This window comes from Homo sapiens, chromosome 1, assembly GCF_000001405.40.
Source record: "Homo sapiens chromosome 1, GRCh38.p14 Primary Assembly".
In the NCBI taxonomy this organism is placed as follows: domain Eukaryota; kingdom Metazoa; phylum Chordata; class Mammalia; order Primates; family Hominidae; genus Homo; species Homo sapiens.
This window is the reverse complement of record NC_000001.11, coordinates 155,950,674-155,967,548: the sequence shown is the minus strand read 5'-3', so window position 1 is coordinate 155,967,548 and position 16,875 is coordinate 155,950,674. Positions and strand designations below refer to the sequence as shown.

Genomic DNA, 16,875 nt, shown 5'->3' with positions numbered 1-16,875 from the left:
TGAGGCCCAGCCAGAGTCCAGGGCATGTGGTGCGAGGGAAGGAGCACGGCCTTTGGATTCAGGCCCACCGGAGTGTAAACACCACCTCTCCCACTAGCCGTGTGACCTCTGATGGACGATTTAGCCACTCCAGGACAGGTTCCTCATACATGAAATGAGGATAACTGAACCTCCCTCTACGGGTGGTTAGGATTAAGTAAATGTGGAACATTTACTATTATAAAAGCTCAGGGAATGTAAATTTCCCCTCTGCCCCTAGCCCCCATTCTGGCTGCCTCTGTGCCATCTTCTGTTCTGTGGGAGTCCTCTCTTCCATCTGCCATTCGCAACCACCTTCGTGCTTCTTGAGCTCATCTCTGGCAGCCAGTGACCCCTGCTCCCCTCTGGTCCGCCCTTCAGGCCACCTTGGGGTCAGGATTGCCCATCCCACTTGATTGTTTAATTTCATTCAGCACCTATACCCCCCTCACTTCATTTCCTGCTTGAAGGAAGAGGGAGGTGGGAGGAGAGGGACTGGGGTGTGGTAATGGCCCAGAAGTCGGGGAAGGGGGGAGAGTCCCCGAGGACTGTGTGGCCAGGAGGAGATGGGTGTCTGCATGTGGGTGTGTCCCCTCCTGTACCACCCGGCCCTCCCTTCACCCTCTCTACCCCACCCTCCCAGCCTGCAATGTGACTATCCACAACCGCTGTAAAGACACCCTCGCCAACTGTACCAAGGTCAAGCAGAAGGTGAGACGGCAGGGAGGGCAGAGGGCTGGGGGAGAGGGTAGTGAGTGTGCGGTACCCTCATGCCTTTTCCATTCATTCCCTACCCTGTGTTTCTCACCACCCACCTCCTCACCAAGGGGCAGCCCAGACCCTCAACCCCAGGCCTCGGGCCCCAAGTAGGCCAGGCCTGTTGCTGCAGACATGTCCCCACAGCACTGGGCTCAATCACCCTGATCCCCTTAACCATAGTGCCAGCTTTCTCCTAAGGGGGCCGGCCACCTAGCTCCTGTCCCATGCCTCTGGGGGTGATCCTTGGGTGACAGCCATTCTTGGTATCTCTCTCCTGCTCTCTGTCTCACAGCAACAGAAAGCGGCCCTGCTGAAGAACAACACCGCCTTGCAGTCCGTTTCTCTTCGAAGTAAGAGTGAGTAGTTGGGGAGTGGAGGAGGTCCCCTAAGACCCTGGACCCCAGGCTGCTCAACCCATGGGCTCTGCTGCCCCACTAAGGTTGTTCCCAGGCATAGCACCTTCCTCTTCTTGATTGGAAGCAGATAGTGGGGGCCTAAGGGAGGGTTCGGACTCTTGGACTTAGAGGCAGAAGGGGAGAGAGAGTCCGAATGGGGATGAGGGCTGGGGATGGGTGGTCGCCTGAGCCTGGCCGCAGCCTGCATTTTTATCAGTTATTTACACTGCATTTCGGGAGTGTTGGTAGCAGCTGTCAAGTGTCAATTCAGACAGCTTTGGTGTAACAGAAAGAGCATGGCCCTTAGGTATAAAGAGCAGAGCCTCAGTCCCTGCCTAGCCATTACCCAAGTCACCCTGGACAAGTCTTTTTGTCTTTCTGAGCTCCTGTTTGTTTATAGGCTTATGTCAGGGAGGAGATAAGTAAGAAAAAGCTCTTTGTGAACATTAGAGTATGGCACAAATGTAAGGTGGCATTCTCATTACCATCTTTCTTGACTAGAGGGGCTGAGGTGGAGTGAGAGGATGCCTCATTCCTCATTGAGGAGCCTAGGAGGCCTCAATCCTGGGAAGCACCAGAGTCTGATGTTTGCCTGCTGGGCATCTCTCCCCCACAGCAACCATCCGGGAGCGGCCAAGCTCGGCCATCTACCCCTCCGACAGCTTCCGGCAGTCCCTCCTGGGCTCCCGCCGTGGCCGCTCCTCCTTGTCTTTAGCCAAGAGTGTTTCTACCACCAACATTGCTGGGTGAGCCTCTGTTTGGGGAAAGGGGCAGCCAGAGAGTGTGGCAGTGGAGGCCAAGGGGGTGCTGAGAGGTCCCTTTCCATCCCTGAGTTCAGAACTGTAGACAGACAAATAAGGAGAACTTAGGGGGACCGCCTCTTGGATCCTGGCTTTGGTTCCCTACCTGGGAAGGGATCTTTTGCCCGACTGGGGGTGATGCAGACAGCCTCCACTTTCTTCAGACATTTCAATGATGAGTCTCCCCTGGGGCTGCGCCGGATCCTCTCACAGTCCACAGACTCCCTCAACATGCGGAACCGAACCCTATCCGTGGAATCCCTCATTGACGAAGGTGAGCAGGCCTGGGCCCAGGGGAGCCCTGAGGAACATGAAGAGGGGCTGGGGGATGAGAGGCTGGTGGGAGTAGCCTGGAAGGACAAGGAGGGAAGGGATCTAGAGAAGGGCCAGGGACCCAGGGAAGGGAACTCAAGACCTCTGAGTTGCTTGCCCTGCTAATGTCCAGCAGAGGTAATCTACAGTGAGCTGATGAGTGACTTTGAGATGGATGAGAAGGACTTTGCAGCTGACTCTTGGAGTCTTGCTGTGGACAGCAGCTTCCTGCAGCAGCATAAAAAGGAGGTGATGAAGCAGCAAGATGTCATCTATGGTAAGCCAAGACCACCCTAGTCTTCCTCTTCCTTCACCAGGTCCTGTTTATCTACTTCCTTCTTTATTTTTCTTTTTCTTTTTTTTTTTTTTTTTGAGATGGAGTCTCACTCTCTCAACCAGGCTGAAGTGCAGTGGCATGATCTCGGCTCACTGCAGCCTCCACCTCCCAGGTTCAAGCGATTCTCATTACAGGCGCCTGCCACCATGCTGGCTAAGTTTTGCATTTTTAGTAGAGACGGGGTTTCACCATGTTAGCCAGGCTGGTTTCAAACTCCTGACCTCAGGTGATCTGCCCGCCTCAGCCTCCCAAAGTGCTGGGATTACAGGCGTGAGCCACCGTACCCGGCTGTGTCCTTCTTTCTACCAGCCCCTACCTCTCAAAACCCTTTCCCTCTTGGCCTACAAGACCCTGCCTGGTATCCCACAGGTTGCCCACTAGGTCCCTACCTCTTGATGCTGTTGGTCTCCAACACCCTCTCTTTATCCCTTCTTTATCTCTGTCTTCAGTCTTTACTCTGTGCTTGTTCCACGCTTAACACCGTGCTGGAGACTGTGGGAAGCCTCGACATGTAGAAGACATATGGTTCTTACCCTAAAATAGCTCACAGCTTGAGATGATAAGGTGTAAAGATAAAAAATGGAACTGGGCGTGGTGGCTCATGCCTATAATCTCAGCGATTTGGGAGGCCGAGGTGGGAGGATCACTTGACGCCAGGATTTTGAGACCAACCTAGGCAACAAAGCAAGACCTCTGTCTCTAAAAAAAAAATATATATATATATATATGTATATATATATATATATATATATATATATATTTTTTTTTTTTTTTTTTTTTTTTGAAGCAGAGTCTTGCTCTGTCGCCCATGCTGGAGTGCACTGGCGCTATCTCGGCTCACTGCAACCTCCGCCTCCCAGGTTCAAGCAATTCTCCTGCCTCAGCCTCCCAAGTAGCTGGGATTACAGGCGCCTACAACTACACCCGGCTAATTTTTGCATTTTTAGTAGAGACAGGGTTTCATCATGTTGGCCAAGCTGGTCTCGAACACCTGACCTCAGGTGATGCACCCGCCTCGGCCTCCCAAAGTGCTGGGATTATAGGCGTGAGCCACCGTGCCCAGCCGTCTTTAAAAAATATTTTAAAAAACTAGTCAGGTGTGGTGGCATGTGCCTATAGTCCCAGCTACTTGGGAGGCTGAGACAGGAGGATCGCTTGAGCCCAGAAGTTCGAGGCTGCAGTGAGTTATCATTGTGCCACTACACTCCAGCCTGGGCACCAGAGTAAGACCTCATTTCTGGAAAAAAAAAAATAATAATAAAATTTTTGAAAGATAAAAATGAGGGCCGGGTGTGGTGGCTCATGCCTGTAATCCCAGCACTTTGGGAGGCCGAGGTGGGGAGATCACGAGGTCAGGATTTCGAGACCAGCCTGACCAATATGAAGAAACCCCATCTCTACTAAAAATACAAAAATTAGCCGGGCCTGGTGGTGCGTGCCTGTAATCCCAGCTACTCAGGAGGCTGAGGCAGGACAACTGCTCGAACCTAGGAGGTGGAGGTTGCAGTGAGCTGAGATCGCGCCATTGCACTCCAGCCTGGGCAATACAGTGAGACTCTGTCTCAAAAAAAAAAAAAAAAAAAGATAAAAATGATTAGAAAAGTATCTAAGATCATAATAATGCAGAATATTAACCTGGAATGGACCTTGAAAACCTCACGTGAACTGTGAGGTCCTTATCCTAGGGCCCCACGAGTTTTAGCCAAGCCAGGGTAGAGGCCAAATGTCCCAATGTCCCCCACAGAGCTAATCCAGACAGAGCTGCACCATGTGAGGACACTGAAGATCATGACCCGCCTCTTCCGCACGGGGATGCTGGAAGAGCTACACTTGGAGCCAGGAGTGGTCCAGGGCCTGTTCCCCTGCGTGGACGAGCTCAGTGACATCCATACACGCTTCCTCAGCCAGCTATTAGAACGCCGACGCCAGGCCCTGTGCCCTGGCAGCACCCGGAACTTTGTCATCCATCGCTTGGGTGATCTGCTCATCAGCCAGGTGGGAAAAGGCAGGACCCCTGGGTGACATTCATGGAAGGAGGTGTGACTGGGTTGGGCATTTCTTGGGTCCAAATTCTAGGGGTTGGAGGGGAGCCAGGGAGAGCTGGAGAAACAGGAAGCCAGCCTGTTTGGCAGGAGGCCAGAGGTGTGTCCAGTGGGTAAAGTGTGGCTTTGGGGGAATGCTGACCTAACCTTACTCGACCAACTTCTAGTTCTCAGGTCCTAGTGCGGAGCAGATGTGTAAGACCTACTCGGAGTTCTGCAGCCGCCACAGCAAGGCCTTAAAGCTCTATAAGGAGCTGTACGCCCGAGACAAACGCTTCCAGCAATTCATCCGGGTGAGCGGACCTCTCCAGATCCCATGCTCATGGCCCAAACCCACCCTCCCCAACTCATGGGGGTAGTGCCTGTGAGCTGCACCCACATGGAGGTCAGGCATTCGCCACCCGTGCAGACCATCCATACACAGATCCTGTCAGCAGTAACCCCTCAGAATGCTAGAGCACGTTGTGGTAGTTTCCCAAGTACTTTTTGCTCCTTCAGTTGGTCCTCACAACAAACCTGTGGCGTTGTTATCCCCATTTTCCAGATATGTCACCTAGGCAAGCATGAGGTAAATGGCCACGCCAGGGCCAGCACCAGAGCTCAGGCCCCAGGCCTTTCTGTTGCCCTCCCCTCTGGCCCTGAGCCCTGCCTCCTCCCTTGTAGAAAGTGACCCGCCCCGCCGTGCTCAAGCGGCACGGGGTACAGGAGTGCATCCTGCTGGTGACTCAGCGCATCACCAAGTACCCGTTACTCATCAGCCGCATCCTGCAGCATTCCCACGGTGAGTAGGCAGGCCCAGGAGAGGGCCACTGGGAGACGGCCACCTGGGGTGAGGAAAGGCTCGGTATGACCACAGGAAGGGTGGGGTCGGGTGTGAAACCCTGGGCAGCCTCTAAAGGTGGAATCAAGACACGATGGGAACTGGGGTGTGAGTGAAACTGGTTGAGCCGTTCCCCATGCCAACCCCCGGTGCCAGGGATCGAGGAGGAGCGCCAGGACCTGACCACAGCACTGGGGCTAGTGAAGGAGCTGCTGTCCAATGTGGACGAGGGTATTTATCAGCTGGAGAAAGGGGCCCGTCTGCAGGAGATCTACAACCGCATGGACCCTCGGGCCCAAACCCCAGTGCCTGGCAAGGGCCCCTTTGGCCGAGAGGAACTTCTGAGGCGCAAACTCATCCACGATGGCTGCCTGCTCTGGAAGACAGCGACGGGGCGCTTCAAAGGTCAGACCTGCTCGGCAGACTAGGCAGGAATTCAAAGTCAGATGGAGAGTGGGAGATGCCTGCAGGTCTTAGAATCAACCTCTCTTGGCCGGGTGCAGTGGCTCAACGCCTGTAATCCCAGCACTTAGGGAGGCCGAGGCGGGCGGATCACGAGGTCAGGAGATTGAGACCATCCTGGCTAACACAGTGAAACCCTGTCTCTACTGAAAATACAAAAAATTCGCCGGGCGTGGTGGTGGGCGCCTATAGTCCCAGCTACTCAGGAGGCTGAGGCAGGAGAATGGCGTGAACCCAGGAGGCGGAGCTTGCAGTGAGCCCAGATTGCACCACTGCACTCTAGCCTGGGTGACACAGCAAGACTCCATCTCAAAAAAAAAAAAAAAAAAGAATCAACCTCCCTTTATGCAGCCCATACAACAGTGAGACTCAGTGGGAGAGAAAAATAGGATCTCTGTGGCAGAAAAGCCTGAATTCTGCAGTTAACTTTATGGACCATACAGGGCCTTCCCTATCAGTATTTTATAATTTCTTTGGTCCTTGCATGCCTAGAGAGCTACTAGTTTTACTGAGGAAGACAAAGAAGCTCTCAGACTGGAGGACAGGATCAGTTGATTCCCCCAGCTGGAATCCCAGCTACCAGGGATGGGAGTAAGCAAGAGCTTTGGGGAGCGCAGCCAGAGGAGGCCCAGAGGAGGGGACTGAGCCGGTGAAGGACAGGCAGGGAGGAGAAGAGACAGCAGGGCAGAGGGAGCAGATCAGGGGCCAGGGCACACTTTCCCAGGCTCTCTTTCCAGAATTTGTCTGCACTGGCAAAGTCTTTCTCACCTAAATCAAAGCAAGAGAATAGCAGGCCTTGGCTTTGGGGATGAGATGTGAGGGACAATAGGAAACTGTGATACCTGAGGCCAAAGCCTGCCTGAGCCTCTGTACCTGTGTCATGAAATCCCTGCTCCCTGGGTTTGGATATTGTCAGTCTTCACCAGCCTCTTTCCTTTATCCCTTTCTCTCCTTCCCATCTCTCCCACGCAGCAGCTAAGAATATAAACCATGGGGGATTAAAAATAGCAAGGCTGGAGAGTGTTATTTCTGAAGCATTTAGCAAAAGCCCTCCCCTTCTGTGTGCCCACAGTTTAGTAAAATCCCCAAGGGCAAAGGAGGAGTGTATGTTTTCTCTCTCTTTTTTTTTTTTTTTAGAAACAGGGTCTCGCTTTGCTGCTCAGGCTGGGGTGCAGTGGTGCAGTCATAGCTCACTGTAACTCAAACTCCTGGGCTCAAGTGATCCTTCTGCCTTAGACTCCTGAGTAACTGGGACTACAGACCTGCACCACCACACCCAGCACATTTTTAAATTTTTTGTAGAGATAAGATCTTGCTATGTTGCCTAGGCTAGTCTTGCTCAGACTCCTGGCCTCAAGTGATTCTCCTGCCTCAGCCTCCCAAAGTGCTGGGATTGTAAATGTGAGCCACTATGCCTCGCCCTCTGTTTTCTTGATTGTGACATCCAAGTTTTATGGAATTGATCTTTGTTTCCTCCCTCAGTCTTGGAGTGCTGACCCCATAGGATCTGAGAGCTTGGAGTGTGAAGCAGAGAAAGAAATTGAAGCAGGGGCCTGCTGGGGTTGAAGGAGATGGGTGGGTGAGGGATGGTCTTTCAGTCCTCTGCGAGAGGAAGGAAACTTTCTCCCTCCCTACCAAGCTCAAAATTAGAAGTGGGAATATGCCAGGACAGGGAGAATTTAGGTCAGATAGCCGTAAAGGTCTTCCTTAGTTAGATATTAGAAATGGAATTTAAAGGCTAAAAAATGTGGTCCAGGCTGGGCACGGTGGCTCATCCCTATAATCTCAGCACTTTGGGAGGCTGAATCAGGCAGGCAGATCGCCTGAGGTCCGGAATTCGAGACCAGCCTGGCCAAGATGGTGAAACCCCATCTCTACTAAAAATACAAAAATTAGCCAGGCATGGCAGCATTCACCTGTAGCCACAGCTACTTGGGAGGCTGAGGCATGAGAATCGCTTGAACTCAGGAGGCAGAGGTCACAGTGAGCAGAGATCACACCACTGCCCTCCAGCCAGGGCGACAGAGCGATACTTGGTCCCAAAAAATAAAAAATAGGCCAGGCGCAGTGGCTGATGCCTGTAATCCCAGCACTTCGGCAGGCCAAGGCAGGCAGATTACTTGAGGTCAGGAGTTAGAGACCAGCCTGGCCAACGTGGTGAAACCCCGTCTCTACAAAAATGCAAAAAATTAGCCAGGTGTTGTGGCGTGCTCCTTAATCCCAGCTGCTCAGGAGGCTGAGGCAGGAGAATCGCTTTTTCCTGGGAGACAGAAGTTGCAGTGAGCCAAGATGGCACCACTGCACTCCAGCCTAGGCGACAGAGTGAGACTCCGTCTCAAAAAAATAATAATAGAATCAAATTAAATTAAAAATAAATAAAAAATAAAAGTATGGTCCCTCTTGCTCTGGGGAACCTTATGAATCTCACAAAAATCTTGGACCCTGTCACCCAAAAAAATACACGAGTTATGTTAATATGTAAAACTATTTACACACCTTCAGAAGGTTTACAGAGCCACTGAAGCCTGACATCCCAGGGGGTCTGTAGGCCCTAGGTTAAGAAACCTGAATCAGTCAGGTAGAAAGGGTTTTCTGTAGACACTGAGTGATCCCTGTGGTTCCTGCTAGCCCACAACGCTGTTTTGTCTGATAGCACATGAATCTTTCTGCACCCTGCCCGCCCCCCACCCCCCACCCACACTGTTTTTAAGCTGTAAGAATGTGTGACCAGGCGCGGTGGCTCATATCTGTAATCCCAGCACTTTGGGAGGCCGAAACTGGTGGATAAACCTGAGGTCAGGAGTTTGAGACCAGCCTGACCAACATGGTGAAACCCCGTCTCTACTAAAAATACAAAATTAGCCGGGCATGGTGGCACACGCCTGTAGTAGTCCCAGCTCCTTGGGAGGCTGAGGTAGGAGAATCGCTTGAACCCGGGAGGCGGAGGTTGCAGTGAGCCAAGATTGCACCATTGCACTCCAGCCTGAACAACAAGATGAAAACTCTGTATCAAAAAAAAAAAAAAAAAATAGAATGGGTGAGGTGTGAGAGGTCTGAAAAAGTGCAAGCAGCCAGAGGGAAGAGAGGCCAGGAAGAGGGAAACTGGGAGCTCTAACCTGATGGGATAAGCCTGGTCCTTGGGAAAGAGGGAAGCAGCTGCTCAGACCGTCTAGTGCTGACTGTTCTCCCACCTTCATCCCCTTCCAGATGTGCTAGTGCTGCTGATGACAGATGTACTGGTGTTTCTCCAGGAAAAGGACCAGAAGTACATCTTTCCTACCCTGGTGAGACATTCATTCTTCACCTTTCTCAGCACAGACAAGTGTTTTAGTCTCTTCTTGCTTTCCTGCCCAAGCCCACGAGAGCTCTGGAGTCCCCCAGAGTCAAACAGCTATAATTGTTACTATTACCGTAATAATAAAAAATAAGAGCAGCTCACAGGTACTGTTACTGTGCACAGGCACTTTTACACCTGTGGGAAAAGATTATTTTCGTCCTCATTTTATAGATGATGAAAGTAAAGCTTCAAGTCAGTTAAATAATTTGTCAAGGGTTGCACACATTTCTAAGTCCCTTCTGGCTGGCACCAGTGCCTGGCTCTTAACTGGTATTGTAAGATGACTCTTCAGTCCTTTCAGTCCTCGTCCAGAAGGATTGAAGGCCTAAATATGCCAAGGGACAGGATTCCCAGGCTTAATCCTTCCTTTCCCCTGACTGGCAGGACAAGCCTTCAGTGGTATCGCTGCAGAATCTAATCGTACGAGACATTGCCAACCAGGAGAAAGGGATGTTTCTGATCAGCGCAGCCCCACCTGAGATGTACGAGGTGCACACAGCATCCCGGGATGACCGGAGCACCTGGATCCGGGTCATTCAGCAGAGCGTGCGCACGTGAGTGTCTGCCTGCCGCCTGCATGTGCTTATGACCTCAGGGTACCTGCAGCATTAGATCCCAACCATAGAACTCCCTGGGAACAGAATCCAGCATTCAGAGGTGGGGGAAGAGGTTGAGGGAGAGACAAAATGGCCCAAGACTGGAAAGGTCACCTATGTTCTTATGTCCTGTAAAGCCACATTTTATACATTGCCAACCTCAACTCCCTTTCAAATTCAGCATGAGCTGACAAGCAAGGGAATACTTTGAGCTGTCACATGGTGGCATACCTGCCAGCCAACAGTACAATTTCAGCTGCATTCACATGTTCATCTGTAGGCAGAGGGCTGTTATTTGGATTGTATTGTATTTTACATTTATTTTTCTAAAAATGAATGAAAAAGAGGATAATGAAAGCATCGATACTAGAGAGGAACAAGTCTCATAAACAGACTCAACACAATAGAAGCAAGAAGGAAATCAGTGTGTCAAAGCAGCAAATCTTTAGCTTCTATTGGACACACATTAGATTTGAGGCAGTCAACTATGTGTCTAATTGTGATGGGAAAAAACATCAAATAAAGCACAGGTAAGATGTTTAAAATGGATTCTGGAAGATTATGCCTAAAGAATGAAGTGTAAGTGTAATTCTAATTCAGATTTTTACAGGTTTTCTTTCTTTTTTTTTTTTAATTTTTTTTGAGACAGAGTCTCGCTCTCAGCTCACTGCAACCTCCACCTCCTGGATTCAAGCGATTCTCCTGCCTCAGCCTCCCAAATAGCTGGGACTACAGGTGCCCACCACGACCCCAGGCAAATTTTTTTTTTTTTTTTTTTTTTTTGGAGACAGAGTCTCTGTTGCCGGGCTGCCTCAGCCTCCTGAGTAGCTGGGACTACAGGCTCACGCCACCATGCCCAGCTAATTTTTGTATTTTTAGTAGAGACGGGGTTTTACCATGTTGGCCAGGATGGTCTTGATATCTTGACCTCGTAATCGACCCGCCTCAGCCTCCCAAAGTCCTGGGATTACAGGCATGAGCCACTGCACCCAGCCAAATTTTTGTATTTTTAGTGGAGACGGGGTTTTGCCATGTTGACCAAGCTGGTCTCGAACTCCTGATCTCAGATTTATCCGCCCACCTCAGCCTCCAAAAGAGCTGAGATTACAGGCATTAGCCACCATGCCCAGCCAAGATTTTTATAATTTTTCTTTAGCTTTCAGGGAATCAGTTCTCAACTTTATAATTTGTAAACCTTTTTTTTTTTTTAACTTCTGCACCATGGAATTTTGAAAAGGTTTTTAGAAATGCATATAAAAGTATGAAATTGCAGGCCAGGCACAGTGGCTCACGCCTGTAATCCCGGCACTTTGAGAGGCTGAGGCGGGTAGATCACTTGAGGTCAGGAGTTCAAGACCAGCCCGGCCAATATGGTGAAACCTCGTCTCTACTAAAAATACAAAAATTAGCCGGGCGTGGTGGCATAAGCTTGTAATCCCAGTTACGCGGGAAGCTGAGGCAGGAGAATCGCTTGAACCCGGGGGTGGAGGTTGCAGTGAGTCAGGATTGTGCCACTGCACTCCAGCCTAGGTGACAGAGTGAGACTCCATCTCCAAAAAAAAATTATGAAATTGCCTATTCCAAGAAAGCAGTTCAAAATAACCTGTCCTGTTGACAGATCTGTAGTGGCTTCTTTATTAATAGTATTAATATTTATAATTGTGGCCAGGCGCTGTGGCTCACACCTGGAATCCCAGCACTTTGGGAGGCTGAGACAGGCGGACCACTGGAGTTCGAGACCAGCCTGGCCAACATGGCGAAACCCTGTCTCTACTAAAAATATAAAACTTAGCCAGGCATGGTGGTGCGTGCCTGTAGTCCCAGCTGCTTGGGAGACTGAGGCAGGAGAATCACCTGAACCTGGGAGGCAGAGGTTGCAGTGAGCCAAGATCCTGTCACTGGACTCCAGCCTGGGCGAAAGTGCAAGACTCTCTCTCAAAAAAAAAATTATAATTGTGGAAATTAATAATATTAATTGTAATTGATTTGTTGAGCTTCTGTTATGTTCAAAGCACTTTAACATTTCATTTAATCCTAATGAAAAACCTATGAGGAAGATATTACCTTCATTTTTCAAATGAGGAAATAGAGAGGTTACCACCTGGTAAACAGTGGAGCCAGGATTTGCATCCTGTTTGCTTGATGCCAAAGCCTGTACTTGACCCTCTGCACTGTGCTGCCTTTCCAAGCGACCTTTGGAGAGATATATCTCAGTAAACGCAGATAATCAGTGCTAAGAAATGGGAGAAGGTCGGCCGGGCGCGGTGGCTCATGCCTGTAATCCCAGCACTTTGGGAGGCGGAGGATCACCTGAGGTCAGGAGTTTGAGACCAGCCTGGCCAACGTGACGAAACCCCATGTCTACTAAAAATACAAAAATTAGCCAGGCATGGTGGTGCGTGCCTGTAATCCTAGCTACTCAGGAGGCTGAGACAAGTGAATCACTTGAACCCAGGAGGAGGTTGTAGTGAGCTGAGATAGCGCCCTTGCACTCCAGCCTGGGTGACAGAGTAAGACTCCGTCTCAAAAAAAAAAGAAAGAAAAGGGAGAAGGTCAGGACTAAATTAAAGCTAGGGTGTGAGGCTGAGGAGTCTTATCAGAAGATGGAAGCATAAGGCATGTTTGGGAAGGAGGGAAGGCTGATTCTGGTCTATAACCTAGCTTCTGTCTCTCAATGGCATGCGACCTGTTACCCCTCCAGATGCCCATCCAGGGAGGACTTCCCCCTGATTGAGACAGAGGATGAGGCTTACCTGCGGCGAATTAAGAGTAAGTCCACCCACAAGGAGCTCCTTAGTAATTTATAATACATTCACACAATGGAATATTATGCAACTGTTAAAAAGATGAGATGGCTCTATGAGGGCTGGTGTAGATCCACAACTGAAACATATTAAGTGAAAAAAGCAAGGTTTAAAACAATGTAAAGTGTATACTACCATGTGTGTAAAAATAATATGGAAGACCAAGGTTGGGTGAGTAACTTACTTTTTCACTGTAAGGCCTTATATTAGTTAGGGTATGATTTAACTGCTATACTAAAAGACCACAAAAATCTTCTTCCTTAAAAAAGGAAGTAGATTGGCCGGGCGCGGTGGCTCACGCCTGTAATCCCAGCACTTTGGGAGGCCGAGGTGGGCGGATCACGAGGTCAGGAGATTGAGACCATCCTGGCTAACACGGTGAAACCCCGTCTCTACTAAAAAATACAAAAAAAAAATTAGTCGGGGGTGGTGGCGGGTGCCTGTAGTCCCAGCTACTCAGGAGAGTGAGGTAGGAGAATGGCATGAACCTGGGAGGCGGAGCTTGCAGTGAGCTGAGATCACGCCACTGCACTCCAGCCTGGGCAACAGAGGGAGACTCCATCTCAAAAAAAAAAAAAAAAAAAGAAGTAGATTGGCTGGATGCAGTGGCTCACGCCTTTAATCCCAGAAGGATTTGGGAGACAGGAGGATCTCTTGAGGTCAGGAGTTCGAGACCAGTCTGGGCAACAAAACATACATAGCAAGACCCTGTCTCTACAAAAAATTAAAAAAAAAAAAATAGCTAGGCATGATGGTACACACCTGTAGTCCTGGCTACTCGGGAGGCTGAGGTGGGCGGATTGTTTGAGCCCAGGAGTTCAAGGCTGTAATACACTATAATTGCACCACTGCACTCCAGTCTGGGTAACAACAACAACAAAAAAAACCCCAACAAGGTAGAATATTATTGCTGTCAACATAACAGTTCAAAGTGGGAAGTGCAGAGTAGTGGTGCAGCTCTGCCATCTTTAACATGAAGTTTTCATCTCTATGTCATGTCTGAAGTGGCTACTCCAGCTCCCACTGTCACACCTGTATCACACCTAGCAAGGAGGAGTAAAGGAATAGAGTTTATACCCTTTTTTCTTTTTCTTTCTTTCTTTTTTTTTTTTTTTTTTTTGAGACAGGGTCTTGCTCTGTCGCCCAGGGTGGAGTGCAGTGGCGTGGCGTGATCTCGACTCACTGCAACCTCCATCTCCCACGTTCAAGTGATTCTCCTGCCTCAGCCTCCCAAGGAGCTGGGATTACAGGCATCCACCACCACTCCTGGCTAATTTTTGTATTTTTAGTAGAGATAGGGTTTCACCATGTTGGCCAGGCTGGTCTCGAACTCCTGGCCTCAAGTGATCCACCTGCCATGCCCAGCCTATACCCATTTCTTTTAAGAGCAGATCTGGAAGATGCTCATATCCATTGGCCAGAATGTAGTCATGTAGCAATATAGTCACGTGCAAGTCAGGCTGGAAAACATAGTTGTTAACTGGGCAGCCATGTGTGCCCAGATGAAACTTCTATGCATTTTCTCATTAAAGGAAGATGGAAAGAATGAACACTGTTGGACAACCTGCAACCCCTTCCACAAATCTTTTTTTTTTTTTTTTGAGACAGAGTCTTGCTGTGTCGCCCAGGCTGGAGTGCAGTGGTGTGATCTCGGCCTCACTGCAACCTCTGCCTCCTGGGTTCAAGCGATTCTTGTGCCTCAGCCTCCTGAGTAGCTGGGACTACAGGCGCGTGCCACCACACCTGGCTAATTTTTGTATTTTAAGTAGAGACAGGGTTTTGCCATGTTAGCCAGGCTGGTCTTGAACTCCTGGCCTCAAGCGATCCACCTGCCTTGGCCTCCCAAAGTGCTGGGATTACAGGTGTGAGCCACTACACCTGACCAACAGAAAGCTTTTTCTTTTTTATAAATGCCAAAATAACAAAATTAAGTCTGCCACACTGCCCCACCCTACCCCTCTCCCCTAGGGCTGTCCTCTACTGGCGCTCTTGCATACCCCTACGTCCTCTCATGTCCTCACTTGTTCCTTATCTGCAGTGGAGTTGCAGCAGAAGGACCGGGCACTGGTGGAGCTGCTGCGAGAGAAGGTCGGGCTGTTTGCTGAGATGACCCATTTCCAGGCCGAAGAGGATGGTGGCAGTGGGATGGCCCTGCCCACCCTGCCCAGGGGCCTTTTCCGCTCTGAGTCCCTTGAGTCCCCTCGTGGCGAGCGGCTGCTGCAGGATGCCATCCGTGAGGGTGAGGGAGCTCCCAGGGAAGAGTCCAGGCTCAAGCACTCACCGTCACAGAATGTGGACATGTGACTAGACATGGACAAACACAGACAAGTGGGATGCCAACCCTATAAACCATAAACGGCCCTGAGTGCCTCTTCTGGGCCAGTTCCTGGGAAAGGCAGGGGAGGAGGTGTGGTCCTTGCTGCTGCTCCATATCGTCCATGCTGCATGGACTCTGCTGCCTCGTAGGCATTTACTGCCCTTTACCTCATCAGTGGTTGTGTGAGTGAAACCCCACTGCCAGTGCAGGGGGCATTCCCCCAGATGCCCAAGTGTCCCACATGTGGGGGTGAATGGCATTCCCCTCAGGGTCCTGTGTCATTCCTGTTCTCACCTCTTCCTCTTTCCCCACAGTGGAGGGTCTGAAAGACCTGCTGGTGGGGCCAGGAGTGGAACTGCTCTTGACACCCCGAGAGCCAGCCCTGCCCTTGGAACCAGACAGCGGTGGTAACACGAGTCCTGGGGTCACTGCCAGTGAGTACCAGGGCAGGGGACCAAGGTAGTAGGTGGGAGGGGCCAAAGTTAGTAGAGTGGTACCAGGGATCAAGTGGTATCAGGGCCCCAGGGAAGTGAGCTCAGCCATCCTTTTCTCCTTCTCAACAGATGGTGAGGCCAGAACCTTCAATGGCTCCATTGAACTCTGCAGAGCTGACTCAGACTCTAGCCAGAGGGTAGGTCCTCAAGAGGTTCTGGGACTTGGCAAGAGGGTGGGAGAGGGACAGCCAGCCTCTGGATCCTCAACACAAAGCTGTCAGGGGCAGGCACCCAGGATTTGTGTGCCTGCTGACTCCCCATTCTTGCCCATTTCTGCAGGATCGAAATGGAAATCAGCTGAGATCACCGCAAGAGGTGAGATGGGAATTGATGGTATAGGAGACTGAAGGGAGGATGTTCTTAGTCTGAGTAGTTAGAGCCCAGTTTGGAGTGGGGTGGGGAAAGCGTCTACATTCAAGTATGTCTCCGGATCCTACTGTCCCCACACCCACCCTTGTTCAACTTTTGGGCAGTTCTCCCATCCTAAAGCTGGGGCCCTGTTCCCACCCTGTCTGTCCTCAGGAGGCGTTACAGCGATTGGTCAATCTCTATGGACTTCTACATGGCCTACAGGTCAGTAGGACAAGGGCTTGAATGGGGAAGGGGAGGAGCCAGGCTAGAGATGCCTGTTTAGGTGGGGCATGGTCATCCCAACAGGCCTTTCTAAATACCCTCCCAATCCAAGCTCTCCAGGAGCGATGATCTGGGCCTTGGAGGGTGAAGGCGAGGGGTAGAAGAGCACAGGGGTTCTGATAAACCCTTCTGCCTGCATTCTACTCCCAGGCAGCTGTGGCCCAGCAGGACACTCTGATGGAAGCCCGGTTCCCTGAGGGCCCTGAGCGGCGGGAGAAGCTGTGCCGAGCCAACTCTCGGGATGGGGAGGCTGGCAGGGCTGGGGCTGCCCCTGTGGCCCCTGAAAAGCAGGCCACGGAACTGGCATTACTGCAGCGGCAACATGCGCTGCTGCAGGAGGAGCTACGGCGCTGCCGGCGGCTAGGTGAAGAACGGGCAACCGAAGCTGGCAGCCTGGAGGCCCGGCTCCGGGAGAGTGAGCAGGCCCGGGCACTGCTGGAGCGTGAGGCCGAAGAGGCTCGAAGGCAGCTGGCCGCCCTGGGCCAGACCGAGCCACTCCCAGCTGAGGCCCCCTGGGCCCGCAGACCTGTGGATCCTCGGCGGCGCAGCCTCCCCGCAGGCGATGCCCTGTACTTGAGTTTCAACCCCCCACAGGTAAGGTGGCCTGCAGTGGTGAATGGACCTGGGGTGGACATAAGGGTCCATGGAGCCCGAAAGAAATTGGGCCATTGGGGATTTGAGCCCAAATGCAATCAGTCAACTGACTTGAAGGATATTGAGATACTGGTTGGAGAACTGAAAAGAAATGT

The 16,875-nt window shown here is 50.9% G+C and overlaps 1 protein-coding gene and 1 non-coding gene across 7 annotated transcripts in view, besides 3 other annotated features; both read left to right on the top strand.

The window, feature by feature from the left end:
• Positions 1-16,875, top strand: part of ARHGEF2 (Rho/Rac guanine nucleotide exchange factor 2) — a 32,764-nt gene that overhangs the window by 12,069 nt on the left and 3,820 nt on the right. For 3 of the 6 annotated variants that reach the window (NM_001350112.2, NM_001162384.2, NM_004723.4), the window contains exons 3-20: positions 662-729; positions 1,070-1,133; positions 1,789-1,918; positions 2,137-2,246; positions 2,421-2,561; positions 4,366-4,616; positions 4,831-4,956; positions 5,327-5,444; positions 5,640-5,888; positions 9,153-9,229; positions 9,667-9,836; positions 12,580-12,647; positions 14,721-14,921; positions 15,314-15,433; positions 15,563-15,630; positions 15,773-15,808; positions 16,016-16,066; positions 16,277-16,720. In NM_001350112.2, coding sequence (NP_001337041.1) covers positions 662-729; positions 1,070-1,133; positions 1,789-1,918; positions 2,137-2,246; positions 2,421-2,561; positions 4,366-4,616; positions 4,831-4,956; positions 5,327-5,444; positions 5,640-5,888; positions 9,153-9,229; positions 9,667-9,836; positions 12,580-12,647; positions 14,721-14,921; positions 15,314-15,433; positions 15,563-15,630; positions 15,773-15,808; positions 16,016-16,066; positions 16,277-16,720 — 2,492 coding nt within the window. Of the gene's footprint in view, positions 1-661; positions 730-1,069; positions 1,134-1,788; positions 1,919-2,136; positions 2,247-2,417; positions 2,562-4,365; positions 4,617-4,830; positions 4,957-5,326; positions 5,445-5,639; positions 5,889-9,152; positions 9,230-9,666; positions 9,837-12,579; positions 12,648-14,720; positions 14,922-15,313; positions 15,434-15,562; positions 15,631-15,772; positions 15,809-16,015; positions 16,067-16,276; positions 16,721-16,875 lie in introns of all 6 variants that reach the window. The other 3 variants (NM_001350110.2, NM_001162383.2, NM_001350111.2) reach the window with 1 other exon arrangement.
• Positions 4,828-6,027: an enhancer, noted in NCBI's record as "CDK7 strongly-dependent group 2 enhancer chr1:155931313-155932512 (GRCh37/hg19 assembly coordinates)". NCBI's record gives its function as "activates an origin of replication core promoter dependent on BRD2, BRD4, P300/CBP, MED14 and CDK7 cofactors, with strong dependence on CDK7, by STARR-seq in HCT116 cells {active_cell/tissue: HCT116}" and the evidence as "EXISTENCE:reporter gene assay evidence [ECO:0000049][PMID:35650434]".
• Positions 5,277-5,571: a silencer, noted in NCBI's record as "tiled region #6631; HepG2 Repressive non-DNase unmatched - State 12:CtcfO, and K562 Repressive non-DNase unmatched - State 14:Gen5'". NCBI's record gives its function as "represses a minimal TATA promoter and a strong SV40 promoter by Sharpr-MPRA in HepG2 and K562 cells {active_cell/tissue: HepG2 | K562}" and the evidence as "EXISTENCE:reporter gene assay evidence [ECO:0000049][PMID:27701403]".
• Positions 8,502-8,641: a silencer, noted in NCBI's record as "silent region_1410". NCBI's record gives its function as "represses an Ori minimal core promoter by ATAC-STARR-seq in GM12878 lymphoblastoid cells {active_cell/tissue: GM12878}" and the evidence as "EXISTENCE:reporter gene assay evidence [ECO:0000049][PMID:35858748]".
• Positions 16,213-16,276, top strand: MIR6738 (microRNA 6738). The gene has a single exon (NR_106796.1). It is a non-coding gene; the product is annotated as a microRNA 6738 (primary transcript).